At 56.4% G+C, this 27,939-nt stretch overlaps 1 protein-coding gene across 2 annotated transcripts in view, besides 1 other annotated feature; it reads left to right on the forward strand.

The window, feature by feature from the left end:
- Nucleotides 1-24,600, forward strand: part of WFS1 (wolframin ER transmembrane glycoprotein) — a 33,416-nt gene extending 8,816 nt beyond the window's left edge. For both annotated transcript variants that reach the window (NM_006005.3, NM_001145853.1), the window contains exons 3-8: nt 8,428-8,510; nt 10,322-10,466; nt 12,532-12,702; nt 13,252-13,332; nt 16,376-16,524; nt 21,992-24,600. In NM_006005.3, the coding sequence (NP_005996.2) occupies nt 8,428-8,510; nt 10,322-10,466; nt 12,532-12,702; nt 13,252-13,332; nt 16,376-16,524; nt 21,992-23,803 (2,441 nt within the window). In that variant the 3' untranslated portion in view covers nt 23,804-24,600. The remainder of the gene's footprint in view (nt 1-8,427; nt 8,511-10,321; nt 10,467-12,531; nt 12,703-13,251; nt 13,333-16,375; nt 16,525-21,991) is intronic.
- Nucleotides 18,349-20,546: an enhancer, noted in NCBI's record as "VISTA enhancer hs1979". NCBI's record gives its function as "enhancer in: pancreas[3/7]" and the evidence as "EXISTENCE:transgenic organism evidence [ECO:0001131][PMID:17130149]".

Here is a 27,939-nt window from a genome sequence, read left to right on the forward strand (position 1 = left end):
GCCTCCCTGCTGTGGTCGCAGCGCGCTGAGGCTCCCATGTACCACTTATGCTGGGCGTGCCCTTGGAAACTCACTGCAGCCCTGGGCCCTGTTTGTCTTTGCATCTCCTTAAAAGATCACTGTGCTCCTCTGCTTTGTTTTGGAGGCCTCTGGGCGGATGAGGGCCTGACCCCGGGATTTGGGCCCAGCCTCACGGCTTCAGGGGAACAGATACCAGGGCTCGGAAGCTTGGTTTCAATCTGGGTAATGAGAACAGCCCGCAAAGGACAGAGTCCAAGACTGTGTGTTTCAGATAAGAAGAGTCAGGAAGCAGCTGTGGTTTGTTTGGCTTCGGTCTCCAATGTGGGGGTGGTGAAGAGCAAGCCCTGGGCGCCGCCTGACAGCCCAGTCCCCACCACTGGGCCTGCAGCTGGGGGCAGTGGGCATCCCGTCTCCCAGTCACTGGTCACTGATGTGGCCAAAGCAGGCCTGGCCCTGCATGCCCAGTGGCCGCAGGGAGGGCAGGGCCCAGGGTCCCTGCCAGTAGCAGCTGCTGCGAGAATCTGTTATTTAGCTCCCCCATCCAGCCAACATAGGTGGGTGAGCATCAGTTGAAATACCAATAGGTAACAACAAGGGTAGCTATTTAACTGACACTTCCCCGAGCTAGGCATCTTTTTAGGGCATTAGCCCACTTGCCTCTTTAACAGCCCTGGGAGGCAGGCTCTGCTGCTGCCCTGTTTTTCAGATGGGAAACCGAGGGATAGAGGGCTTAAGTAGATGACCCAGCGTCCCGTGGTTGGTGAAGGGTGGAGGGGAGATTTAAACATACCGTGGAGCCTGTGCTCACTATGGGCCTCAGGTCATCTGCGCCCAGGGATCCCCATGTCCCAGGCTCAGAGAAGTGCACAGAGCAGGTTGGCCTGTCCCTAGATCAGTGCCTGGCCAGGCCCTGGTGACAGGAGTGAAGGCTCAGTCCTGCCCTCCGGGAGCCCTGAGCAATATGGGAGACAGGAGTGAACAAGGAACTACATTCTGGGGCTCATGTAGCGCGGGGGACAACCCACATTGCAGTCCCCTAGGGGCACCCCAGGAGGGCCTGGTCACTCTTCAGGGCATCAGGAAGACTGCCTGGAGGAGGCATCGTCGGAGCCCCATCTGAGCTGCTCCTTGGCCTGTACACTTGGGAAACAGGAGAAGAGCAGCCTTGGGGTTGCCCTTCTCTGGTTGCCTCCCTGAGGAACTGACCCCCTTTTCAGCCCTTCATTCAGCAAGGCTGGGGAGGGGCTGCTTCAGAAACGTCACTGGGCTGGAGCCCCACACTTCCTTCCCATCCTGGCTCTGTGGCCTTGGCAAGTCACCTGCCACCTGGGGAACCACTGCCAACGGGTCGGGGCTTGGAAGCTCAGGGGCTCCTGGGCCCAGACAGGTAAAGGAAACAGTGACTCCGGCTAGAAAGGAGACTGCAGGGAGTTGTGAGGCTCTTGGGCGTCCCTGTGCCAGGGCGGGACTCCTCATGGCAGCCCTGAGAGGGGAAACTGTGTCCTGTGTGGAGCGTGGATGCCCACGTGCTGAGAGGTGTTGTCTGTCCTGATTTTTGACAGCAGCCCAAGTGATGTGCCAGTGGGCCAGGGCCGGCACCTGCCTGTCGGTGGCTGCCCCAGGGCTGATGGGCAGGGGCCGTTTCTTCACAGGCAGCTGTGGTGAGTCCTGTGATCACCTCAGTGTTGTCTCCAGCCCTGGGGGGATCTGTTGTTCTGCTCAACAAGAGAATAAAGCTGGGCTTGTCACACCTGGTCCCAGGTGACCCAGCAGGCACAGAGAGGTAGAGTTGACACCAAGCCTCACTCAGCCACCGTGACACGGCTGTGCGAGTCCACGCCCTGGCAGAGAGCCTGTTCTGGGCCTGTTCTGTTTAGCCCTGGGGCTAAAGGGCGGGCTCAGATGCACAGAGGGACAGGCCTGGTGCAGGTGGGAGGAAGGAAAGCAGACTGTGTCATCGTCTCAGCTTCAGGCTGGGCATGCTGTGGCTATCATGTGCTTGGCCTGTGCTAAGTGTGTGCTAAGCATGTGGCCCTGGTGGGCACTCAGGCCTCCTGGGTACCAGCCGAGGCCCCACCCCTTCCCACTATGCGGCCCTGAGCTCTCCTGCTGTCTCTGTCATTCACGGGTCTACCAGTAGGACAAGGCCTGGGGTTGGTGGAGGAGGGAAGGAGGTGAGATTCGGGAGCTTTCCGAGTCGTACCCGCCACTCCGTCTCCGAGCAGCAGCACTCTCATCTCTACAAGTCTCTACAGCAGTGCTGCCACCGCCTTGACCAGGGAATCACCCTACTGTGAGGTGGCCCAGCTCACTGTGAGACTCTGGGGCAGTCATATGCCCTTTCTGTTGACCCCAGTGGGTGGCCAGCCCACACGACTGCTGAATCTGCCAGGCCTCCCAGCCATTGGGGGTAGGGGGATTGCTTTGGCAGCCACAGGGACACAGATGCGGACAGGAGCAGGAGCCCTGGGGAGGAGGTGCACCCCACCAGGAAGCACCCACCAATGCTGACTGAGGCTGCACTGCCAGTTAGAGCCGCTGGGCGAGGGACAAAGAAGGGCCTTCGGGTGTGGGGAAAGCAGGCACCCCAGCTCCTACACTAAGGGCACCCTGGGCAGAGAGGGAGCCCAGTGGGGGGCACCCAAGACCCATGAGGAATTGGCTGTGGTGTCAAGAGGTCAGCCAGGCCAAGCAGGGCCCTGAGGGTCAGGGAAAGGAGAGGGCATTGTCGTGAGTGGGGCTCAGCTGTTAGATGGATTGTTTACATTAAAGGCCAGCCAGGAGGCGGAGCAGAGAGAGGAGTAGCCAGGCCACAAGAAGGCTGAGGGACAGGTAGACATGGAGGGGAGAAAGCCAGGGTGGCCTCCAGGTTTCTGGCTGGGGCTGCCAGGTGGACGGTGGTGGCACAGCCTGAGGTAGGGTCCTGGGGGTGGTTCCCGGCGGGGTCCGAGCTTAGTCTTAGAGGGTACAAGGGGGCCCAGGAGGGACTGGGGCTCTGATGCAGATGTGGGAGTGCGCTGAGCCCCTGCTGCCCTGGGGACAGGCACAGCAGGAGGTGCTACTCAGGGCACCCACCGTTGATTATTTAGGAAGCAGCTGTCACGCCTGTTCTTTATCCTGACCTGGCCCATCTGATTGCTGATGTGCTCCTGCTGAGCCCCCCACACCACACTGAGGACTGGCCACAGGATCTGGTGGCACTCAGTCTTCTGGGAACTTGGCAGTGTGCCTGTCCTACTTTGCGCTCCAAGCCTCGGACGTCACCTCCAGGAACCCTCCCACTGTGGGTGATGTCTACAGTCACCTACACAGCCCCAACTCTCATGGGTGGACGTGCTCGTTCTTGCCTGGCCCAGGGCAGGCCGTGGTGAGCTCAGGGGTCCTGCCTGTCAGTTTGGTGCCCTCGGCTACGCAGGGCCTGTTAGAAGGGTGCCCTCCCTGCCAGGGCCTCCAGCCACTGTCTGTCCTGTTCCCGCCTCAGAGTTCAGCCAGCATAGAAAGAGAGGGCTGAGGACCATTCAGCCTGTCCATTCACGAGAATCATTGTCAGTGTCACAGAGGCTGATGGGATGCCTGTGGTGCAGGGTGACCCCAGCTTCCCCATGTGGGGGATGCGCCGGTGGTGCAAGGCCACCACCCTGTGCCCTGTCTCTGGCACAGGGATGATGACAGCACACAGCACATCCTCTTTTCTTTCTACCTTTCCCTTTGGCACAGCCCCTTGTTGTGGGCGTCACGAGAGGCGCAGAGAGATCGTGGAGGTCAAGGGCTTGCCCAGGACCAGTGAGGGAGGGAGGGAGAGGGCAGCAGCACCCTTGGAGACGGGAGGATTACATCATATTTATTTACCACATGCCTAAGATCGCACTCTTAAGAGCATTTGACATACATCCAAAAATTTTTAAACACTATGGAAGTATGTCTGGATGCATCAGTAATATGAAAGTGGAAGCCAGCTGCCCTGCTCCCAGCCCACTTTGGGAAAATTTTGTGCATGTTTTGAGCCAGCTGTTTGGGAAGGGAGGCCCCAGCCACTGCCCCTTGGGTGGGTTTGATGTTCATTGTGTGGGAAGAAGCCTTCCCTCCATCCTTTTCTATTTCTGCAGAATATCTGCTCAATCAGGGAGTTGAGCTTGGCAGTTCAGCTGCTCAGCCAGGGAGGTGCTGTGTCCTGGACTATGCTAGGATTTCAGAAGGAGAGAGGGCAGCTGCAGGCCCTATTTGCAGTGGCTTCCTCCTGGAATCCCCGTCTGCTCCCTGTGTACTGTCCAGCGTCGTAGTGGAAGCTGGTGGCGAGACGGGTGAGACCCACGGACATAGATGGCATCCACGAAGGCTGGCGGAGCCTGTGATAGACGATGGACGATGACCCAGGTTCCAGCAAGATATGGCAGTGGGCTGTGCCGGGAAGGGGCGCATCCTGGAGGATGCCCTAGGTAGTGCCTGAGAAAGTGAGGGTCATTGACTGATTCCACGTGGCATCCATGAATCTCTCAAATCCATAGGGCCCGTGCATGACAAATAATTAAAAAGATGTAGGGTGTTCTCCATAGAACCTCACAGAGGGAAGGAGACCTGCCCATGGTATCCAGCTCTGATCACACTGCTATTTTGTGATTGATAGGCAGACTTTCAAAGAATGAGTTAGATTCAGGACCCTTTTAGTTGTAAGTGACAAAATCTCAATATAAATTGACACAAGCCAAAAAAGTAGAGGGGCAAGGGATTGATGAGTCCATAGATCTGTAGAGCCTAGAGTAGTTTGCTTCAGGCACGGCTGGATCCAGGGGCTCAGATGATGTCATCAGGAAGTACTCCCCCGCCCCCATTCCACTCTGCTTTCCTGTGCTGCCTGTGTCTCAGGGGCTCTGCCCACAGGGTGACCTTCCACAGTTCAAGCTGGCATCCACGTGCCAAGATGAGCAGAAGGTGAAAGCCCATTTCCCAGCAGTTCTAGCACAAACTCCGCTGGGCTGTGTCCATCCCTGAACCAGGTGCTGTAGTCAGGGAGATGACCTGGCAACTCTGATTGGCCAGGTGGGGGTGCGGGCCTTCTGTGCAGCGCAGGGGAGGGGGCAGTGCCACCCAGACCATGAGGACTGAGAGTGGCGGGGTTCCCCAAAAGGGACATCAAGGTGCAGTCATCAGAAAAAGCAAGGAACGGAGGTCGAGCACACAGAAAACACGTGTGTTTGATGGTTCTTGGTGGTCCACACTGATGCAGCCGGCTTCTGGGGGTGATCTTTCTGGCACTGAGCAGTGAGCATGCTGGGATTTGCCTTTGAGCCCACGAAGGCTCCTACTTCATGGACTGAGCTAACTGGTCTGCAGGACGAGCCCACCACTGCCATATGGAAGCTGGAATAATGAAGAGGGTGTGTGTCCATCTCAAAGAGATTCTGGGCTGGGCGCAGTGGCTCAGACCTGTAATCCCAGCACTTTGGGAGGCTGAGGCAGCAGATCACCTGAGGTCAGGGGTTCGAGACCAGCCTGGCCAACATGGTGAAACCCTGTCTCTACTAAAAATACAAAAAAACTTAGCTGGGCATGGTGGCGGCCGCCTGTATTCCCAGCTACTCAGGAGGCTGAGGCAGAAGAATCGCTTGAACCCGAGAGGCAGAGGTTGTGGCGAGCCGAGATTTTGTCATTGCATTCCAGCCTGGGCGATGAGAGTGAAACTCTGTCTCAAAAAATAATAATAAAAAAGAGAGAGAGATTCTGTATATCGGGGAGATGTCTTGAAATGTCAGGCTGTGAATAACTTCTGTGAAAAATTAATTATGGACTGGAAGAATCTTTTTAGACCACCATATAGACTTGGACCTTCCATGTTTTGATTTTTTTAAAAAAGGGAAGAATAATATGACTTGTGAACTTAGGTCAAGTAAGGAGACTTGAATTCACTAGAGGTGCTGGCGTTGTGGTGGGAAGTACAGCAACAGCCCTGGGGTCTCCTGGGGAAGTGGGGGAGGGAAGAGAAAGCCTCCTCTTGTGAACAGCAACTTTGGACCACTCACTACAAAGCATCTCTTTTCATCATAAACCATCCTATCAGATTGATGTTAACGATCAGATTGAAGCTGCTTCGGAGCAGTGATGTGGCCTGCACCAGGTCGCACAGCACCTTACTGTGGAGCATGGATCCACACGTGCGTCTGTGTCATTGTGATCGCTCACGCTGCTCTGTGGGCCCATGGCCTTGGTGCCTGCAGGCTCTGTGTCTGCAGTTCCTCTAGGGATAGTGAGTCTGCTGCTGAGCCCGCAGCCAGAAACCACGCTGGGGGGCTGGCAGGGTGACGGCAGCAAGGAAGGAGAACTGTCCTTGATGGATTCAGGGAGCACCAAGGTCTGGGGGCTCTGGGGAGGGTGGGTGTCCAAAAGGGCTGCCCTGCGGGACCTGATGCCATCTCTGAGCAGCGTCCTTGAGGACCCCGGCAAGGAAGCTGAGCCCGAAACTCTGTGCAAGAGTTGCGTCCAGGGAGAGTTACATCCAGGGAGAGTTACGTCCAGGGAGAGGGGCGTCCAGGAAGAGGGGCATTCAGGGAGAGGGACATTCAGGGAGGAGTCTTCCAGGGACGGGGACATCCAGGGAGAGGGGCGTCCAGCGAGAGGAGCCTCTAGGGAGGGGTACATCCAGGGAGGTGGCCTGTCAGGGAGGGTGGTGTCCAGGGAAAGCAGCATCAAGGGAGAGGGGTGTCCAGGGATGGGGGCATCCAGGGAGGGGGGCTTCCAGGGAGAGGGGCCTTTGTGTTGGCGAGTTGTCCATCCACAGGGCTGGAGTGCGTGTGCCTGACCACGAGAGCTTGTGAAGAATCCATCTGATTCTTTCCTTCTCCAAACACATGCCTCACCCACACAGCCTTACCTGTGAGGGCCTCACCTGCCACCTGCGACTTTTGAGTTGTCCCAGCCTCCCTCTGCCCTCTCCAAACTGGGTGTGACCCTTCCTCTCTGCCTTTGCACCTGGCCACATCCCATGGTCTCCCACTGGAGTCCTGTCTCCTGTACACCTGGGTCATCTGAAGGCAGTGGCCAGGCAGCACTTGGTGCTGCAGAGCCGGTTCAGAGCCTGGCACGGTATGGTTCTGGGAAAGCCCTGGGTGAGTTGGACCAGAAAGGCTGGTCCTCAGTGTGGTGTTACTGGGAACCATGCAGCCTGTCCCGTTGTCAGCCAGCCTTGGGTGAAATGGGTAAGACTGCATGATGCTTTTGTAAATTCAGGTAACTTCTTAGGAAGTAAAATGCAGCACAAACTGTAGTTGATGTTTTGACCCTTGGTCTAATAATTCAACTGGAGAACCTGTGCTAGGAAAATGACTTCCCAAAAGAAAAGAAACGGTTCATGGCACCACCGTAGAAAACAAGAGGTTATTGGAAGCAACCTACAGACCTGATGGAGAGGAGGGGAGGGTCAGTAACCTGACTCTGTCTCCTTGATGGATCTAGGAGCCACCAAAATGGTGAGCTGACTGCAGCGCATCGTGGGAAGCCAGAGAACAATCCACTGCTGTGGACTGAAAGTTTGTGTCTCTCCCAGATTCATTTGCTGAGGTCTTCACCCCCAGTCCCATGGTGTTAGGAGGTGGGGCCTTTGGAGGTGATGAATCATGAGCGATGGCTTTACGGTGGAATTAGTGCCCCTATAAAAGAAACCTCAGGGAGCTCCCTTGCCCCTTCCACCCTGTGAGGACACAGCCAGAAGACCTGAAACAAAAAGCAGGCCCTCAGTAGACACGGAGTCTGCAACACTATGATCTTGGACTTCCCAGTCTCCAGAATCGAAAGAAATACATTTCTGATGTTTGTAAGCCACCAGCTTGGTCTATGGTATTAATATTTTTGTTATAACAGCTCGAACAGACTAAGGCATTCACTCTTAAGAAGGAAAAGGTAATATCAAGATGTATATACACTGATTATAATATCCAAAAAATGTGGTTTTTGTTGGTACAATCATGGAAAACATGAACTTGATTTGTTGGGGTTCTGGGCTTCGGGTACAGGTGCTTTGTATTATTTAGGTCATGGGCTGTCAAACTTGAGTCCTTGGATCTTTCTAGAGCCCCAGCTAGAGCAGGCCTAGGCCAAGGGGTGTGATGGTGGGACTTGGCTCTGTGCTCGCCTCCTTCCCATGCCTCCCACCCCGAGCGCTTTGAGTTGCTGTTGAACCACCTCACCCGCATAGAGTTTGCTCATCTTGCTCTGGCGCTGCTTGTGACCGGAAGGCAAACAGTGGCTTTCTGGGCATCTTCCCTGTCTGTGTCTGTGTCTCTCTGTACTCCTGGCCTGGATTTGAAAGTGACAAGCAGCAGCAGATCTGAAGACCCTCATGCCTTGTCCCCTCCATCCTGACAAGTGACAAAGTCTGGCTTTGTGACATGTGTGTTTGTTTCTTCTGTGTTAAAGGGCCTACAAAGGGAGACATGGAAATCCCCTTTGAAGAAGTCCTGGAGAGGGCCAAGGCCGGGGACCCCAAGGCACAGACTGAGGTGAGGACTGCGGTGCCGGCAGGGACTTCGGGACGCGGCCCCCGGCACAACAGGCCTGGCCACGAGCTCCACAGCCCACAGAGAAGTGTCGGTGCCTGAGATCGGGGTCAGGAGCCAGCGTGGTGCACCCTACCCCACTTGAGCCCCATGTTGGTAGGGTGCCCATGTTCACTGTGCCAGTTTTCCTCCTGGCACTCCTCTGGGGAGCAGCGCTCATCCCCCTTTTGTCCAACTCACACCTCATCTTGGGCATCACCTCCTCCAGGATGACCTCCTGGCTTCCTGCAGCTGCCTGCTCAGTGCCACCCCTCAACATACACTGTGTATGCTGCCCACTCTTGTCTCCCTGACTGGCCTTTCACCTGGCTGTTAGCTGTGTGCACGGGGCCCTCAGAGCGGTGACCATTCACTTGGGCATCAGCCAAGGGCTGGGCTTTGTGCCAGTGCTGGGGACATGATGTGGCCCTCTCTTCATGGGTGACAGGTTAGTGGAAGAAGCAGACCCAAAAAACCCAAGTAGACAAGACACAGAAATACAGTGATTTTGAATTCTGGTGAGGGGAGAAGCCAGCAGAACGCTGAGACGGGAGGTGGCAGGGGGTCCTGTGTCCTCTGTGGAGGCAAGTTCTCACCACCTCACTCTGTCCCCTTGCACAGGGCTCAAGCAAGTGACCACAGTTATCCTGAGCAGTTTCCTGCCCCCTCTTCTCCCTAAAGAGGAGAAAAGCTTCCACGCGAAACCATAAATTAAGAATTTCTGGCTGGGAGCGGTGGCTCACGCCTGTAATCCCAGCACTTTGGGAGGCTGAGGCGGGTGGATCACCTGAGGTCAGGAGTTCGTGACCAGCCTGGCCAACATGATGAAACCGTGTCTCCACTACAAATAGAAAAATTAGCCAGACATGGTGGTGCATGCCTGTAATCCCAGCTACTTGGGAGGCTGAGACAGGAAAATCACTTGAACCCAGGAAGTGGAGGTTGCAGTGAGCCGAGATCGCACCACCACGCTCCCAACTGAGCAACAGAGCAAGACTCTGTCTCAAAAAAAAAAAAAAAAAAATTTCTTTCCTGACCTCACAGCCATATTGTACTTTAAAGTTCCTCCCACATCCTTTTGCCCAGGCATTTGGAGGCGGGGGGAGCATAGTAAGCCCTTTTATGGGCTCTCTGTGCCCTGGGCCTCACTTTTTCCATCTGTAGAATGAGAAGACTGGACCATTTCAGCAGGGATTCTTTTTGCAAAGGGCCAGATAGTGAATATTCTGGACTCTGCGCAATCTCTGCCGTGTTGCTCAGCTTTGCTGTGGAGCACGTAAAAGCAGCATGGACAACATGTAAATGAATGGTTATGGTTGTATTTCAATAAAACTTTATTTGCAAAAACAGGCAGTGGGCCAGTGCTAACCCTTGGTTAGCTGGCGTCTCTCCAGCCCTGGCTTTCTATGGTCCCCTGACTGTTTTGAGAGGTGTAAAGGACCCAGTCATGGTTCTGATTTCCATGCATTGATGGTGAGCCTTGGCAGGCAGGAGCAACTCAAGGAAGAGAACCTGTACCAGTACCAGTCGGAGCCCGTGTCTCCCTCGCCGTGTGGATGGGGTGGCCACACCTTCCTCACCGTGTTTTGAGGAGCGAGTGGCCGGAGGCTCAGTAGGGCCTAGCCTAGTGGACATGCCTGGTGTGACCCCATTTCTGCCCCTTCCTTCCTGGCCTGGGTGACAAAGGGAAGTGGGTGAAAGGAGGTGGGCTGGCAGGGAGCATGGGGTGGGAGAGGGTCGGAGAATCTGGAGGCTGACTGGTGTCTGGCTTGCAGGTGGGGAAGCACTACCTGCAGTTGGCCGGCGACACGGATGAAGAACTCAACAGCTGCACCGCTGTGGACTGGCTGGTCCTCGCCGCGAAGCAGGGCCGTCGCGAGGCTGTGAAGCTGCTTCGCCGGTGCTTGGCGGACAGAAGAGGTGGGTCTGTGTGAGGCTTAGAACAGCCTCTGGAGGGTTGAGCAGCTTGTAATGCTGCTTGCTAACTGAACAACTAAAATCTTACCAAACCTAACGCTGGTGATGCTGTTGGGAAATTTCAGTTTCTGTTTTGCTGGTGGCCTTCTCATTTTAGACACTGTTTCTGGACTTAACATGGGATATTTAACAGACCAAGCCATTTTCATTCTCTTTGGCTTGTGTTGGTATCTCCAAGTGGTAACTATACATCCTGCTTCCCTGCTGGGTTCTGATCCAAACTGAGACATCGATCCTGGGTTCAGCTGAGAGGCAGTTTCCCTGAGGCAAAGCTGGAGACTGTAATGTGGCCTGCAGTCAGAGTGGCCCATGCCCCTGAGCTGATGTCCGTCGAGTCTGGGCAGACCAGCTGAGGGGCTGTGGGCCCACACAGACCTGGACAAGCATGTTCACTTTGGGAGGAGGCAGGCTGACCCTTCATAGATAATCTCTTTCAAACAGAGAGGCAGGGGAGGAAAGGGACGCAGCTCAGGCCAGGGGTGGTGAGTTAGGACGTTGTCCTGCGCAAGGGAAGTGGCTGTCCCTGGTGCCGTGGGGCAGTGTGCTTCCTGAAGGTTCCACGCCTCAGGGAAAGATGAAAGTGGGTGTCACAAAGGTGTTTTTTCTAATGATACCTTTTTTTTCAGATTGTAAGAGTATTTTATGCTTATCATAGAAAACTTGGACTATGTAGAAAACATAAAGATACAAATTACTCATAACCTTGAAGCCCAGAAGCAACTCCCCATATTTTGGTGTATTTCCTTCTGTGTTTGTTGTTGTTGTTTTGAGATGGAGTCTCACTCTGTCGCCCAGGCTAGAGTGCAGGGGTGCGATCTCAAGTCACTGTAACCTCCACCTCCCTGGTTCAAGCAATTCTCCTGCCTCAGCCTTTTGAGTAGCTGAGATTACAGGCGTGCATTACCACACCTAGCTAATTTTTGTATTTTTAGCAGAGACAGGGTTTCATCAGGTTGGCCAGGCTGGTCACAAACTCCTGACCTCAGGGGATCCACCCTCCTTGGCCTCCCAAAGTGATGAGAGTACAGGCGTGAGCCACCATGCCCAGCTTGTATCATATTTTAAGAGTTACATTTATTATACAGAGTCTTCTCTTTGAAAATTAAACTGATGATTTTGAAAAACTAACAGTGGCATTGTTAGCCAGAATTTCTCACCAACCCAGCCTGCTGATTCCAGAGCAGTTGGAATGACCTGGAGGGGGCTCAGGCGGCCCACACGGCTCATTGTTGGGTGCCAGGGATAGCCCAGAGGCTGCTGGGGCAGAGCGTGCAAGGGAGGAGGCCGGTTGGCCCCGTGTTCCCCCAGCTGCACACACCTTCTGATGTGCAGTTGTGCTTTCTGATTTGAAAAGAAATACATGCTCATGTGGAAAATTTTGGAAATGTTCAAAAGGAGAAAAACATCCAGACCCCCGTGCCAGTCCTCCTGCCCTCTGCTTGGTTGTGCCAGTGTCCCAGGCCGTTGGGGGTAAAGGGAGGAAGGCAGCTGCTGACCAGCGGTAAAACCTGCTCTCCCTCTCCCCGCTGTCCAAGCCTTCCTTAGAAAGGGCTGGGCTGTGTGTGAGACAGAGGAAAGCTCTGTAGACACAGGGGTGGCCCTGCCAGTGCACCCAGGCTGGTGACTGCAGTGAGTCCACCCTGGGTTCAAGACAGCTCTGCCTCTTTCTGACTGTGTGACCTTGAGTGAGCCAGAACACAGGCCTGTGCCTCCGGGTCTGCACCTCTGAGAGAGGGGAGGAACAGGAAGAGGCTGCCTTCTTCCCGCCAGCATGTAGGGGGCACTTGGGGGCGTCTGGTGGGAGACCAGTCTGGCCTCCCAGCTGGAGAGTGGGCGTGGCGCGATGTCCTCTTGAGTCAGATGTCCATGCATCCTTCCCTGGTAACCAAGTCCTGACACCTTCTATGAGTCTCGCTCGAAAGCCTTCCAGGCAGAGTTGGCAGGGTCAGAGTGGCACCGAAAGCCTAGGCAGGGCACACAAGGCCTTTGACCACATCCTATCCCTCAGGCATCACGTCCGAGAACGAACGGGAGGTGAGGCAGCTCTCCTCCGAGACCGACCTGGAGAGGGCCGTGCGCAAGGCAGCCCTGGTCATGTACTGGAAGCTCAACCCCAAGAAGAAGAAGCAGGTGGCCGTGGCGGAGCTGCTGGAGAATGTCGGCCAGGTCAACGAGCACGGTGCGAGGATTCACCCTGGGCACCAGCCTTCCCTGGGCGCCAGCCTTCCCACAGGAGCCAGGACCTTCCCATAGGGGCTGGGACCTTCCCTCAGGGGCTGGGTCTTCCCACAGGAGCCGGGACCTTCCCTGTGAGGACAGGGCCCTTCCTTGTGGGGACCAGGGGACCAGAACCTTCCTGTAGAGACCGTGCCCTAGTGGTGAGGTGTGTGGGTGGCATTTTGACAGCATCTGCCCTGGCTCAAGTGCTCACTCATTGAATAAACCAGAGGGTATTCTGCCCAGTGCTCTGTGACCACGTCTACCAATGGGACGGACTGTGTCCATCACCAAGTGGGAGCACGCTACGTGGTGCTGAGTCCACCCCAGCTACTGGAGGTACAGAGGTGTGGCCCCTGCTCTGCCTGCCCTGGGGGCCCTATGATCCCCAGAACGTAGGATGCCCCTGGAACTGGCGTGCCCTAGGAACAGTGCGCCAGTTTCTGGTGGGCTGCAGGGCACGAGGAGATAGTCAACTTGTCTGACTGTTAATCCACCCTGTCCCCTGCAGATGGAGGGGCGCAGCCAGGCCCCGTGCCCAAGTCCCTGCAGAAGCAGAGGCGCATGCTGGAGCGCCTGGTCAGCAGCGAGTGTGAGTGCAGCCCCTGCCCCGTCTCACCCATGCCTCCCAGCCTGCACCTGCAGGGCGACCTCTCCTTCCTGTGCGACTCCATCCTGGCCTGCCCTATCTCACCCGTGCCTCCCAGCCTGCGCCTGCAGGGCGACCTCTCCTTCCTGTGCGACCCCATCCTGGCCCTGCTAGGATCTCAGGCGGTCCGTTTGGGGCTCAGTGTTCTGGACGCTGGGAGTAGACCCTGCCCACCTGGAGCGCACGCACTGGAGGGAAGGCAGACCCAGGACAGAAACCATGATGTGCCAGTCCCTCTTGGACAAGGAAATACTGGGGGTGGGGACTGGCGGGGGGGTCCTGAGTGGGGAAGGATGAGGAGGGCATTAGGGGAAGGGGCTCCGGGCAGAGGGAACAGCATGAGCAAAGGCCCAGGAGACCCAGCAGGGTGTGGAAGGGGCTCTGCCCCAGCGTAGGCCCTTTGTAGGTAGGCAGGGAACAGAGTGGGCAGAGCCTAGGTTGGGGGATAGAGTCTCTGGGGCACACTGAGCTGGGGGTGCCTCTGGGATGTTTGTGGTCAAAGACTGAGAAGAGACGTCACATCCTCCACGTGCAGCTGGCCAGCCTCACTGTCTTCCATCCACGTGGGGTAGACTCTGCAGTCTGAGGCACTGGGAGCTCCTGTCCTGGAGAAGATAGACAGGCAGGAGGCTTGGGGGCTCAGTATCAATGGGGGGATGGGCCAAGACCCAGGTCTGCCACAGACTCTTCTTGTGACATGGGCAGGTCTCATTTTTCTTTCTGGGTGTCAGTTTCCCCTTCTGAACAGTGAGATGATCAGACAAGGGGACTGAAGGACCTCGCCCATCCTAGAAGCCTCTGTGGCATGTAGGGCAGAGTACAGGTGGGAGCACAGATCCCACCTTCCCACTGGGCCCGTGAGGAAACCGTCCATAGGGTGTGGTCAGAGCCCTCGCCTCTGCGTGGGCGGACATGGGTGCTTGCGCTGCTGTTTTCCTGCTCCATTTGGGGGAGACAAAGAAACACCTCACATGGAAGTGGGAAGAAATCTGTGACTCTAGGAAGCCCGAGGACCAGAGAGGCTGTGACAGTGTCCTGCCACCGAGGTGGCATGGTGCCTGCTGTCCTGAAGTGAGGTGCCTCTGGGCAGGAGCAGCCCAGCCTGGGTCTCCATCCTGGGGGGCACTGCAGGCAGAGTCTGGACCCCAACCTCACTTCCCAGTCCCACAGGGGTTTGTGATGAGCCGGGCACACCTGCTGCTGGGCCCTGTCGCTGTTGCTGGGGGCGAGTTAGGAGTCAGCGCTGCCAGCCTGTGGTCCCCTCCGCCAGGCCCTCAGGGACAGGGCCCCAGCACCCCCATTGTTTCCCCTCTATCAGAACGTTCCCATCAGGCATCATCTGTTTCTCTGCCAGCTTTTCCAACAGAACTCCCAGAAAGGGGCGTCTGTCATCCCCTTCTCTCGTCCTCCGTCCTTTGCTCTCAGGCCTCTGCCATGTTATTCCACCAAAGCGGCTCGTCTAGGCCATCAGTGACCCCCCTTGCTCAGTCACTTCTTGTCCTTGTCTGACTTGATCTGTCAGCAGCGTGGGCAGAGATGACTGCTCTTCTCCTTAGAGCCCTCTCCCCCACCAGGCCCGGGGCCCTTGCTGCCACACTGGCTGCTCCTTCTTGGGGTCCCTAGACTGATGTCCTGTCTCTCAGGACAGGACATCCTGCCCAAGGTATTCATCCCTATGAGGACAGGGGCCTTCCTTGTGGGGACCAGGGTCTTCCCGTAGGGACTGTGCTCTGGTAGGGAGATGTGTGGGTGGCATTGGTGACCACTCTCGTGTGTCAGACGCCGTCCTGAACCCGCAAGCCCCCAGCCCGCCCAGGCTGCATCCAGCCCGTGCTCCTTCCACATCTCCTGTACCTGGCTGTCCCATGGTCACCTCACAGCTCAGTCTACAGTGAGCTACTGAGGCCTGTGCTACCTGCCACTTGTGTGGGCCCCCCCAAGGCTGCCTCATCTCTTTGCTGCAGCTACACCTGGGTGCTGCCCCGACTCCTCTCCTCTTGCACACACAGCTGATCCATTAGGAGGTCTGTCAGCGCCCACTATCACGGCTGCCATCTTGGATGCAGCCTGCCTCCTCCCTAGGGTTTCTGCAGCACCCTGGCTTGTCTCCCTCTGCCCTGCCCCAGCATGGTCCTTTCTTTCCCATCCTTCCCCTGGAGGCCCTCCTGGTCACCATCTCACCACGGCAACTGGGGTCCTTCAGGGGCCTCATTCCCTCCTAGGGGATCATGTTGGATAGAGGGGTCAGTGGGCACGTAGCTCTCGCGGATCACGTTGGATGGAGGGATCAGTGGGCACGTAGCAGGCTCTTGGTGGAAGATGTTGGATGGAGGGGTAAGTCGGCCCATGGCAGGACGCATGTTGAATGGACGGGTTAGCAGGCATGTAGTAGGCCCATGGCAGACACTTGTTGGATGGAGGTGTCAGCAGGCACATAGTAGGTGTGTGGCAGATCATGTTGGATGGAGCGGTTTAGCAGGTGCACAGTAGGCCCTGGGTGGATCACGTTGAATGGAGGGGTTGGGGGCGCAGATCATGTTCGATGGAGCGGTTGGCAGGGTACTGCCCTACAGGGCGGCTTGTCACCCGTGCTGTGAGAAGCCCCACGCTGGCTGAAGAGGAGGGTGTCAGCATGCACTGGAGGTGCATGTTGTAAGGCTTGGCAGGTGAACTGGGTGAAAGGTGTGGGTGAGTGGCCCCAGGCATAAGGAGCTAGGCAGAGAGGGACACTTGGGGTGGGGGACAGCACACCCAGGGGCCGGGGGCCAGGAGTGGAGGCTGGCACTTGGCAAACCTGCCCCCTTCCTCCTCACCCAGCCTGGTCCTCAACCCTCAGGCCGCCCAGGGAAGGGTTTCCTCCACCTGAACCCACTCAGCTCCTTTCTTAGCTTGGCCCCACGCCACCGTCCCCAGCCCATTGCTCTGTGTGAGGGTGGCAGTGGGGCTGCAGTGTGGGGCGCCCATGCTGTTTTCTCTCATGCTTCAGCCAAGAACTACATCGCGCTGGATGACTTTGTGGAGATCACTAAGAAGTACGCCAAGGGCGTCATCCCCAGCAGCCTGTTCCTGCAGGACGACGAAGATGATGACGAGCTGGCGGGGAAGAGCCCTGAGGACCTGCCACTGCGTCTGAAGGTGAGTGACCAAGACCCCGGTCAGGCCGGAGCCTGCCTCCCAAGGACTCGCGCACCTCAGGCAGGGCACCTTCCAGGAAGCTGCAGGTGGGGAGGTTCGCGCCTAACAAAGAGTGTCTTACAGCCGTGCCGCTGGTACCTTTGGGTCATCATCTATCGTCATAAGGATGTGTCCTCGGGAGAGAGGCCTTTCTTTTCTGCGCCGTCAGGCTCAGAAACCAGGGGCGGTGTTGGGCAGGAGTGCTAGGATGGCAAGCAAGGGGCCCCTGGGTCTTTCTGTGCAGTGTAGGGGGCAGTGGGGCGGGCTGGACGCAGACTTTCATCTAGACTTCATCACTTAGCAGATTTCTCCATGTATGGTCCAGAGTGGAGGCCAGTGCCTTGAAGATGCCTTCCCCGAAAACAAAGTGCCGTGTCCGTCAGGCCAGGGAGGACGTGCAGAGGCGCCTACTGCCCCTGGATCTGCAAGGGCTCAGGGAGCGAGGCCAGTGTGGGAGCGTGGTGGGTGACACTTGTGCAGGGTGCCATTGGGCACACCTGGAGGACATGAGCAGCTTTGGCGGCAGGAGGAAAGCGGGGAGCGGGGAGCGGGAAGCCCAGCAGTGCGGGCCCTACTCCTGGCCTGACAGCTTGTTTTCTTGGCCATGTGGCCCTATGGCCTCTCACAGAGTTGCTCACAGTTCAGCTCGCATGGTTGAATTAGATGTGTGCCTGTCTCACTCTGCAGAGAACACCAGGATTTCCAGAAGCTTGGCCTCCTGACCCAGGATCCCCAAGCTGAGGCCAGCACAGGGGGCCCCAGCAGATGATTGTCACAGAGGCTGCGGGCAGTATCATGCAGGCACCCTGGGGTTCTGTCTTCTGAACTGACTGAGAACCTGGAGGAACTGCCATCATTGTATTCAGATGGGCGCGTGAGTCAGGGCCAGGACCAGGAGATGGTTGGGCCACCAACTGTCAGGCAGGCAGCAGGCTGAAAGGTCACCGTCCTCGAGCCAGGGAGAAGGTCAGAGTAGGCCCGCCCTCCGGTGGGGGGGAAGAGCAGGAACCCAGGTGCTGCAGGAGCAGCTTCAGCCCAAAGAGCAGCAGGCACAGCAGCCCTGCTGCAGGGACTCGGAGCCAGACAGGTCTGAGTGTGAGCCCCCCGAGTGCCCAGAGCTGCGAGTCCTTTAGGGTGGCAGGTGGAAGGCTCTGCTCCTCCCACTTGGGACAGGCTGTATGTCCAGGGTATGACACCGACCGGTCTGCAGAGGTTCTGAGACATGGGCCAGGATGGCCAAGAACTTGAACCAAGGGAGCACATGGTTTTTACTGATGGTCTGCTCAGAGCTGGCCCTAGGCAAGCATATTCACAGATTGGGTGCCATCATCTCCTTACTAATGGGAGATGAGGAAGCTGGGGTGCTGGCATGGTTTTGGCAAAGACACTCCCGAAATGAGAGTGAGGGTCACAGGTGAACGGGTTAACTTGGAGAAGACCCTTGGGCCAGGCGGCCATGGCCCAGGTGTCCCAGTTTATGCCATCTGGTGTAAGTACTATTATAATAATGCCTCCTTGCATATGCGTCCTGTTCGGAAAATTATGTCACCTAGTTATGGATGGTGAGTCTAGTGTTGTGTAGCATCTGAAAATCCTATTTATTTATGTTACTTAATGACAGGGTCTCGTTCTGTTGCACAGGCTGGAGTGCAGTGGCACGGTCACAGCTCACTGCAGCCTCAACGTGCCAAACTCAAGTGATCCTCCCACCTCAGCCTCCCAAATAGCTGGACTACAGGCATGTGCCACCACACCCAGCTGATTTTTTTGAAAACATTTTGTAGCGATGGGGGTCTCACTATTGTTATCTACGCTGGTCTCAAACTCCTGGGTCAAGCGAGCCTCCCACTTTGGCCTCCCACACTGCTGGGATTCAGGCGTGAGACACTGTATCCAGCCTGAAAGTCCTTTTTAGAAGGGAGAGATTTAAGCTGTTTTGACAAGAAGTAAACAAGACTCTGTTTCCCTTTAGTTTTGGATGCTGTCAGAGCACTTCGATTCCTTTGCAGTTTGTCTTCTTAGAAGTCTCTTGTGAGGGAGGCAATGAATCGTCACAAGCGTCTCCCAGGGCTGAGAGCTGTCCCACCTTTTAGTAGCCTTTTGTAGAACAAGGAGAGGTCTTCACTCAAAGTGAAAATGACAGACACCTCTTTGTGAGCCACCCTTACTCCCACAAAGAATGTTCCAGACTCCACACAGTTCTCTTCTGGAGCCTGGAGGTGCAAGCTGTCATCGTAGATAGAATCCTCTGAAAACAAACTTAATATCTTAAAATCGTAACATTTTTAACATTACATAATTGGAAGATCCGACACGGGAACATTTTTGCCCACAGGTTTGAGCAGAATCTCGTCTCGGCTCCCTTCCCCAGCCTGCCTTCTTCACGGGTCCGCTGGGCCATCGGTGTGGTGACGCTGCTTCCTGGTTTCTCGTGGCAGCAGAAGGGCCGATCACCACAGGCCCAGACAGAGAGCTCTGCAGTGTTCTATTCATAGAGGCAGACTCCTCATAGTTTTTAAGTTTCGTTCTTTTTCCATCTCAGGAGTTGAATTTGTTTGGACCTTCTTTGCAGAAAAGGAGACTGAACTTTTTAATCCCATGTCAGAGGAAGGTCTTGGGTGTACATTGCAGGGAGCAGAAATTGGGGCTTTAAAAAGGGGATCGTTCCCTGGTCATCGAGTTCAGGTGGGGGACCAGCCCCTCCACACTGTCCAAGCAGAGGCTAGACGCCATCCAACGTAATGTTCTAGAATATTCCTTGTCTTTTAAAGGCCCTCTCAACCAGGTGGTTGTGTGTGTTCTAGGCAAAAGAATGTGCATGGCTTTGAGTAAGACAGGATTTCAGATTTATTTTTACCAAGGCCACCCCCTTGCTACCGTGGCGGTCGTGCGTGAAACTGGTGGTGAGCAGTGGCGGGCCAGGCCACCTTTAGTTGTCCTGCTGTTCGCAAGGCCCCCATACGGGGATTAACTGAGCAGCCTGCCGGCTGACGCACATGTTGACTCGTGTAGCTGTTGATTTTAGCCAGCTGGCCTGGCGTCATACTACAGGGGCTTGCCCCAAACAAACCCTGGAGTAGGTTGGTTTTCATAAATGCCCTCTGGCTCTCTGGCAAGCGTTGGAAATGCCCTCAAACCCTGTAGTGCCTGGTCTTCCCTGGCCATCTCCTGGCAGTGTGAGCGCCTCTCTGCTCATGTAGAAGGTTGTTGACCCCAGAGAGAGCTAGGGGAGCTGTTAGCTGCTTTAATCGTTTATTTGCTTGTTATAAAACAGAGATTAAGTGGACTGTCACAAATATACATGAAGCAGCAGAGCTGTTCCCCCACGTGTAGACGTGCATGCACACACTCCTAAACACTTCCGTTTCTTCCATGAGCCTGTCCTTCTCATCTGTGGAAGGCTCAGTCTGTGTAGACATGCATGCACACACTCATAACACTTCCGTTTCCTCCATGAGCCTGCCCCTCTCCTCTCATCTGTGGAAGACTCAGTCTTCTGGTTGTTTCCAGGTGTCCTGGTCCTCCAGAGCTGATAGCCAGGCTGTTGGCAGGTGAGGGCCACATTCTGGTGTTGTCACCTAGTTGCCATTCACCTGGGATCCCTCCTTGGCCTTCTGGTGGGCCTGGTGGAGAGAACCTGCCCCAGGGGATTTGTGGGGTCTGGTGCTTCCCCGAGGCCCGGAGCTGATGGGGGGCTCCAGCCTGGATGTGTCATGTAGCCCCTCAGTGGGCCCTGGACATGCAGCCAGGCTTCCCTACCCCCATGTGGGGCCGCCCCCTAGGCGTCCACTTCCTGGTGTTGGTCCAGGCCCCTGGCACTTCTGAAGATGCACAGAACCTGCTTTGTATGCCACGCCATGCTGTGTGAGCACTGGCACCATGGCCACTTTGTCCCCCATCCCCTCCAGTCCCTCTGCCTGGCTGCCCTGTGTTCTGGCAGGGCTCAGGGCCTCTGAGTTCTGCACAGACCAGGAAGGCATGAGGGCTGGCCCTGGGTGGCAGCGCTGCTTCACCCCATCCTGAGGCTGCTCCCAGCATGCCTCCCTCAGCCCTCTGCTCCTCTTGGCTGTGGTGAAGGCCAAGAGCTCTTTCTGACCTTAGCGCTGCATGCAGAGCAGGGGAGCAGGACCCACAGGTCGGGGGAAGGCAGCCTTTGGCCTTGACTATGGGGAGGTAGGGGTGCGCTGGTGTGTATGTGTAGGTGCACACGTGTAGGGGTGGGTGTGCATGTGTGAGGGTGCACGTGTGGGGGTGGGTGTGCACGTGTGTGTAGGGGTGGGTTGCGTGTGTGTGAATGTGTATAGGGGTGGGTTGTGTGAATGTGTGTGTAGGGGTGGGTTGCGTGTGTGTGAATGTGTGTGTAGGGGTGGGTTTGAATGCAGGTAGGTTGCGTGTGTGTGTAGGGGTGGGTTGCGTGTGTGTGAATGTGTGTGTAGGGGTGGGTTGTTTGCGGGTAGGTTGCGTGTGTGTGAATGTGTGTGTAGGGGTGGGTTGTGTGAATGCGGGTAGGTTGCGTGTGTGTGTGTAGGGGTGGGTTGCGTGTGTGTGAATGTGTGTGTAGGGGTGGGTTGTTTGAATGCGGGTAGGTTGCGTGTGTGTGAATGTGTATAGGGGTGGGTTGTGTGAATGCGTGTGTGTAGGGGTGGGCTGCATGTGTGTGTGTAGGGGTGGGTTGTGTGTGTGTGTATGGGGTGGGTTTGTGTGAATGCGTGTGTGTAGGGGTGGGTTGCGTGTGTGTGTGTGCACGTGTGTGTACGGGCAGAAGGTGGCCTGGCAGCTGCTTCTCAGGGTCTCCGGCCATAGGGAGGGCAGCTCACCCGGCAGCCCCGTGCAGCTGAACGGTATTTTTGCTGGGAGAGTGGTGCTGGGCCCTCTGCCTGTGTCTGCACTGAACTCCCTTTCCCTAATGCTTGCTCTGCCACCCCTCCGGGGACTGCCTGCGGCTTCTCCTCCTCGTAAGGATCGCCATTTCCCTTCATGGAGGCTCAGGGAGGTGACATCCTTGCTGTAGTGCAGAGCTGGGTCACAAAACCAGCTCCCAGACAGGCATCTCAGGGCTCCGTCATCTCTTCATGTGGGTGACCCTGAGGGGAGGGAAGTGGGGAGCCCGTGGGTCCCTCCAGTGCTGGAGGTCTTGCAGGGAGAGAAGCACACATGCATCTAGTCACGCTGGTAGAAGGTGGGGAGCCAGGCACGGGGCAGAGGGGGGCTCCAGGCCCAGAAGAGGGAGGGCTCACAGGGACCGCGAGCATGGGGAGGGCCACCTGGAGAAGGGGGGAGGGAGGACCACTAGGATGGGGCTGGTGATGGGAAAACGCAAGGGTGCGGGTTCCTTTTGCCCAGAGGCAGGGTGGTCAGAGGGAGGCGTGAGATGGGAGCAGTGGGGGTCCTGTCCCAGCCTCGTTCCCACGTACCATCTTTCCCCCAGGTGGTCAAGTACCCCCTGCACGCCATCATGGAGATCAAGGAGTACCTGATTGACATGGCCTCCAGGGCAGGCATGCACTGGCTGTCCACCATCATCCCCACGCACCACATCAACGCGCTCATCTTCTTCTTCATCGTCAGCAACCTCACCATCGACTTCTTCGCCTTCTTCATCCCGCTGGTCATCTTCTACCTGTCCTTCATCTCCATGGTGATCTGCACCCTCAAGGTGTTCCAGGACAGCAAGGCCTGGGAGAACTTCCGCACCCTCACCGACCTGCTGCTGCGCTTCGAGCCCAACCTGGATGTGGAGCAGGCCGAGGTCAACTTCGGCTGGAACCACCTGGAGCCCTATGCCCATTTCCTGCTCTCTGTCTTCTTCGTCATCTTCTCCTTCCCCATCGCCAGCAAGGACTGCATCCCCTGCTCGGAGCTGGCTGTCATCACCGGCTTCTTTACCGTGACCAGCTACCTGAGCCTGAGCACCCATGCAGAGCCCTACACGCGCAGGGCCCTGGCCACCGAGGTCACCGCCGGCCTGCTATCGCTGCTGCCCTCCATGCCCTTGAATTGGCCCTACCTGAAGGTCCTTGGCCAGACCTTCATCACCGTGCCTGTCGGCCACCTGGTCGTCCTCAACGTCAGCGTCCCGTGCCTGCTCTATGTCTACCTGCTCTATCTCTTCTTCCGCATGGCACAGCTGAGGAATTTCAAGGGCACCTACTGCTACCTTGTGCCCTACCTGGTGTGCTTCATGTGGTGTGAGCTCTCCGTGGTCATCCTGCTGGAGTCCACCGGCCTGGGGCTGCTCCGCGCCTCCATCGGCTACTTCCTCTTCCTCTTTGCCCTCCCCATCCTGGTGGCCGGCCTGGCCCTGGTGGGCGTGCTGCAGTTCGCCCGGTGGTTCACGTCTCTGGAGCTCACCAAGATCGCAGTCACCGTGGCGGTCTGTAGTGTGCCCCTGCTGTTGCGCTGGTGGACCAAGGCCAGCTTCTCTGTGGTGGGGATGGTGAAGTCCCTGACGCGGAGCTCCATGGTCAAGCTCATCCTGGTGTGGCTCACGGCCATCGTGCTGTTCTGCTGGTTCTATGTGTACCGCTCAGAGGGCATGAAGGTCTACAACTCCACACTGACCTGGCAGCAGTATGGTGCGCTGTGCGGGCCACGCGCCTGGAAGGAGACCAACATGGCGCGCACCCAGATCCTCTGCAGCCACCTGGAGGGCCACAGGGTCACGTGGACCGGCCGCTTCAAGTACGTCCGCGTGACTGACATCGACAACAGCGCCGAGTCTGCCATCAACATGCTCCCGTTCTTCATCGGCGACTGGATGCGCTGCCTCTACGGCGAGGCCTACCCTGCCTGCAGCCCTGGCAACACCTCCACGGCCGAGGAGGAGCTCTGTCGCCTTAAGCTGCTGGCCAAGCACCCCTGCCACATCAAGAAGTTCGACCGCTACAAGTTTGAGATTACCGTGGGCATGCCATTCAGCAGCGGCGCTGACGGCTCGCGCAGCCGCGAGGAGGACGACGTCACCAAGGACATCGTGCTGCGGGCCAGCAGCGAGTTCAAGAGCGTGCTGCTCAGCCTGCGCCAGGGCAGCCTCATCGAGTTCAGCACCATCCTGGAGGGCCGCCTGGGCAGCAAGTGGCCTGTCTTCGAGCTCAAGGCCATCAGCTGCCTCAACTGCATGGCCCAGCTCTCACCCACCAGGCGGCACGTGAAGATCGAGCACGACTGGCGCAGCACCGTGCATGGCGCCGTGAAGTTCGCCTTCGACTTCTTTTTCTTCCCATTCCTGTCGGCGGCCTGAGGATGGTCCGCCACGAGGAGCTTCCAGTGCATGTTGCCATGAGGCCTTTCCCCAGTGTGGCCCCAGCCCGACAGGCATGCACCAGTGCCGCCTGTGCCCACGTGTGCAGACTGTGGCTGCAGAGACCTTGCGACCATGTGTAGATTGCGTGGACCCCGACAAAGGGAAGGCTGCTGTGTAGCTCTGTCCACTCTGAATACCAAGTGTGTTGGGAATTGCATGCCATCTCCACCCTGAGCCTGACCTTTCTGAGTGACATGGGTGTGCCAGGCTAGACTAGGAGGTTCCGGTGTCTGGAAAAGCACTTTACAGATGAGATTCCCTCTCCTCCCCCACCTTCAAGCACCCTGTTCCCTCTTTCTTTCTTTTGTGTTGGATTTGTTTAAAAACCAAATAAGCATCTGTGTAACCTCCACAGTAGCATTTCTTATTTGTTTGGTCACTGCTACACCTTAGCAGCTCTTCCCCTTTCCTGGGGGATGTGCACGGCAGCTTGAGCCTGTCACGTGGTCAAGGCCCGGCCCCATCAGAGGCTGGGGGAGGCGGCACATTGGCAGTGTGTCACACTGAGCTGGGCACCACAGGCTGCCTCATGACCCTCCTGTCCAGCAGGTAGTGGGTGAATGTGTGAAGGTCTTGCCTGAATCCATCAGGACTTGGGAAACAGAGAACCCTGTGGGGGCGGCTGTGGGGGAGGTCCCTGCCAGTGTTTAGAAGAGCCTGACTGTGTTCAGTGCCTTGGAGCAGAAAGCCAGGGTCCTGAGTGGCTGAAATAAAAGCCTCTGGTGGAACCTGCAGCGCTTTCCTTCCTTTCTTTACCGAAAAGAAGTCTTTCTTGTACGTGCGTGAGAATCAGCAGAGCCTGCACTCCTGTTGAATGAAATGCAAGTGCAATTTGAGTTATAAAAGAGCAAGGTTGATGTTTCACAGTTGATGGCTTCCTGCCACAGCGAGACCCTGGCTTCATCTCCAGCTGGAGGGGCCCCTGGGGCATCTGCCGTAACTGTGGGGTGGCCTGGGCATGGGCTGCCTGTGCAGAGAGACCTGTGCTGAAGGTGACCATGGAGTGTCAGCCCAGCCATCTTCAGATCTTACTGAGCGGAAAGTGCACGGTCATAATTATCTTTGAATTCCAGTTACCCATGAAGTGGAGCCTACAGGGTGATTGATGGCGTGGGGGCTGCTGTCCATGCGGGAGTGTGTTGTGAAACCACCTCCTGTGTTCCCTAACCTGCAGTGATGACCCCATGGGATTATAATCAGAACTTAGTCATTTGGGGGCACCCGAGCAGCTGCAGGCCCCTCAGCAAACCTCACCCCTCTTGGGCAGCCTGTCTGTCCCAGCCCCTTGGGTCTTTGGTGTCTTCCCTGAGGTTGAGGACGTGGCCTGTACCTGCTCCTGTCCCCCGTAGGCTGGGCTGCTCTCTGCTGGGCACCAGGCCTCACCTCTTTGCTGTGGGTGGGAAGCGTCGAGTGGTCACACGATCTGGCTTGGCCACCTGGTGTTGCCATGCAGGATGTGGTTGCTCCATTTTCCTTGGACGACACTGGGTGGTGGCAGCTACACCCGACACTGTCCTCTCATCCTGGTTTGTCCTGCCTGGAGGGGCTGCGTGAAACCACACGAGAGGCTCAGGTGGTGTCATCACTCCGAGCCACGGGTGGTGGAAGCTGCACCCCCACACTGTCCTCTGCGTGAAACCACACGAGAGGCTCAGGAGGTGTCATCACTCCGAGCCACATGCTCGCCCCTGGGTTTCTTTCCCAGGCAATGAGATGAGGTTGGGGTTCAGCCTCATTTCCTCTCCCCATTCTGTGGATTTGTGAAGCCATGGAAGGCCCTCGCCCTGTGACTCTGCCCCCAGGATCCCCACTGACTGCAGAGGAGGGAAGTCGCCTGATGCTTTCCAAGTGAACAAAGATGACAACACAGCATCTCCCTCACAACCCCTGGATGAGGAAGATGCTCCAACATCCCCCATCTACAGAAGACGGCACCGAGGTTCAGAGTGGAGGCCATAGCACATTAGCACGTTATCACATGGCACATAGCAGAGCAGGAAGGACAGAGCTCTGCCTGTCCCCTTCCCCTGGGCCACCACACTGCCACTCAGCATCCACAATTAGTTTCTAACCAACCGGCAGAGGCACAGGTTGGAGGAGAAGTGGTGCTGTCTTTTGGGCAGAGTCCAGAATGGGCATGGTCCCGGGTTCCACTCATTCTGCCACAAACCCCTGTGCCACCCGGCACCATTTAACACCTGTCCCCAGGCCTCAGTGTCCCAATCTGTAAAACGGAAAGCCTGGGCTAAGTTAGTGGTTTTCAAAACTTCTTAGCAACACCGTTTTTGTTTGTTTGTTTGTTTGAAATAGGGTCTCACTTTGTCACCCAGGCTGGAGTGTAGTGCTATCTCGGCTCACTGCAGCCTCCACATTTGTTCTGGGTTTTACAGAGAGGCTCCCCGGGCCCCGCCGACCACCCCACCCAGGAAAGAACCTGCCGTCTGCAGGAACAGCCATTATTTAACACCCCGTCCCGGCCACCTGCTCTGGTCTGCCCCTTCACCGTATGGAGCTGTAGGACACCCAGGGAGGGACCGGGGGCAGGGTCTCACTTTGCTTCTACGAAGTAGTAGCATTTGAGAGAATGAGTCAGGAAAGACCGAATTGGGTGGTGCCATCTCAAGTGCCAAGAGAGGGTTTGGCGCCAGAGTTTCCAAGCCCTCTGGAAGCCCAGCTCCCTAGGGGCATTCTTTCAGGGGGCCTTCACTGTCCATTCTTGGGTAGCGAAGCCATCAGAAAGACCTCTCTGCCTCCTTTGGACATGCTGTTAAAGACCAGTCATTCAAAGCTCAATCATTCAAGTGCTCTCTTCCTTTTTTTTGATCCTACATCATGCAAGTACACTCCCAAGTGAGGTGACAAAAACGCACATTTCTGCAGATGCCCATGAACCAGGACCTGTCTCTCAAGTCTGCCACCTGAGGACAGAATCCTGTAACCACCCCAGCTCCCAATCAGCAGGATGGGGTGTCAGGGCTATTAAACAAACAGCCACGTGGCCCAACACGTCTCATCCGGCAGCTCGGGGAAAGCACACTTTGACAGCCAGGACCCTATCCGATAAATGGTGCTTCCTCTTCATGACAAAGAAAATGAACACTCATTCACTCAAAATATTCAGCACCTGCTGTGTGCTTCACTCTTCCTGGCACAGGGGATGCAGAATGAACAGAGAGCCCCTGCCCCACTGGGAGGGGTGTTTGTGGGGAGATGGACCAGGTACCAGTCAGTGAATATAGCACAATGGCAGGTAGAGAAAAGTGCTACAGTCATCTACCGTGAGCGCTGTGATGCTCTGCCCAGTTTCACCACATTAATGGAGCACCCACTATATGCTGGACACATACCATGCATTTTCTCATCCTAGCGGCTGTTGCAAAATAGACACGTCCATTGTGAAGACTGCGGGCGGTAGAATCGCAGCCCCCAAAGGTGTCCAGGTCCTAATCCCCAAATCCTGTTTGTGTGTTCCCTTGCATGGCAGGAGGGATGTTGCAGATGGGATTCAGTTAAAGATCTTGATACCGGGGAGATGATTCTGGACTTTCCTATCCAGAAGGGCCCAAAGTAATTTCAAGTGTCCTTGTAAGAGGGAGGCTGGAGGGTCAGGGTGTGAGATTGGAAGATGCCACCCTGCAAGCTTCAAGATGGGGGAAGGGGCCATGAGCCAAGGAATGTGGGTGTCTCTCACGCTGGAAAAGGTGAGGAGATGGTTCTCGCCTGCAGCCTCCAGAGAGACACAGCTGACAGAGTCAGACTGGGCCACTGACAGGGCTCTAGCGTCCCAGATTCCCATGCCCCCACCCCTCTGCATGGCTCCTGAGCCCCTCTCTGAGGTGTCTCCTGGAAAACCTTTGGGCTCCTGCTCCCTGCCTGTTATCCCTGAATGTTGCTGCCTTTTGCAGCTTGTCTGTCCCTCTCTGAGGCTCATGATGTCATCTGCGTGGGCCCCCCGCGTAATTCTAACAGCACCCAGGTAAAGATAAAGGTGCTTTGTTGTTTTTCTAAAAAGGACTTCGCTGTTGCTTGAGTCACTCATAACTTGATCAATTATTTGGAGCTCTAAAAGCTTC

The sequence above is a fragment of the Homo sapiens genome, chromosome 4 (assembly GCF_000001405.40).
Source record: "Homo sapiens chromosome 4, GRCh38.p14 Primary Assembly".
Taxonomy (NCBI): Eukaryota; Metazoa; Chordata; class Mammalia; order Primates; family Hominidae; genus Homo; species Homo sapiens.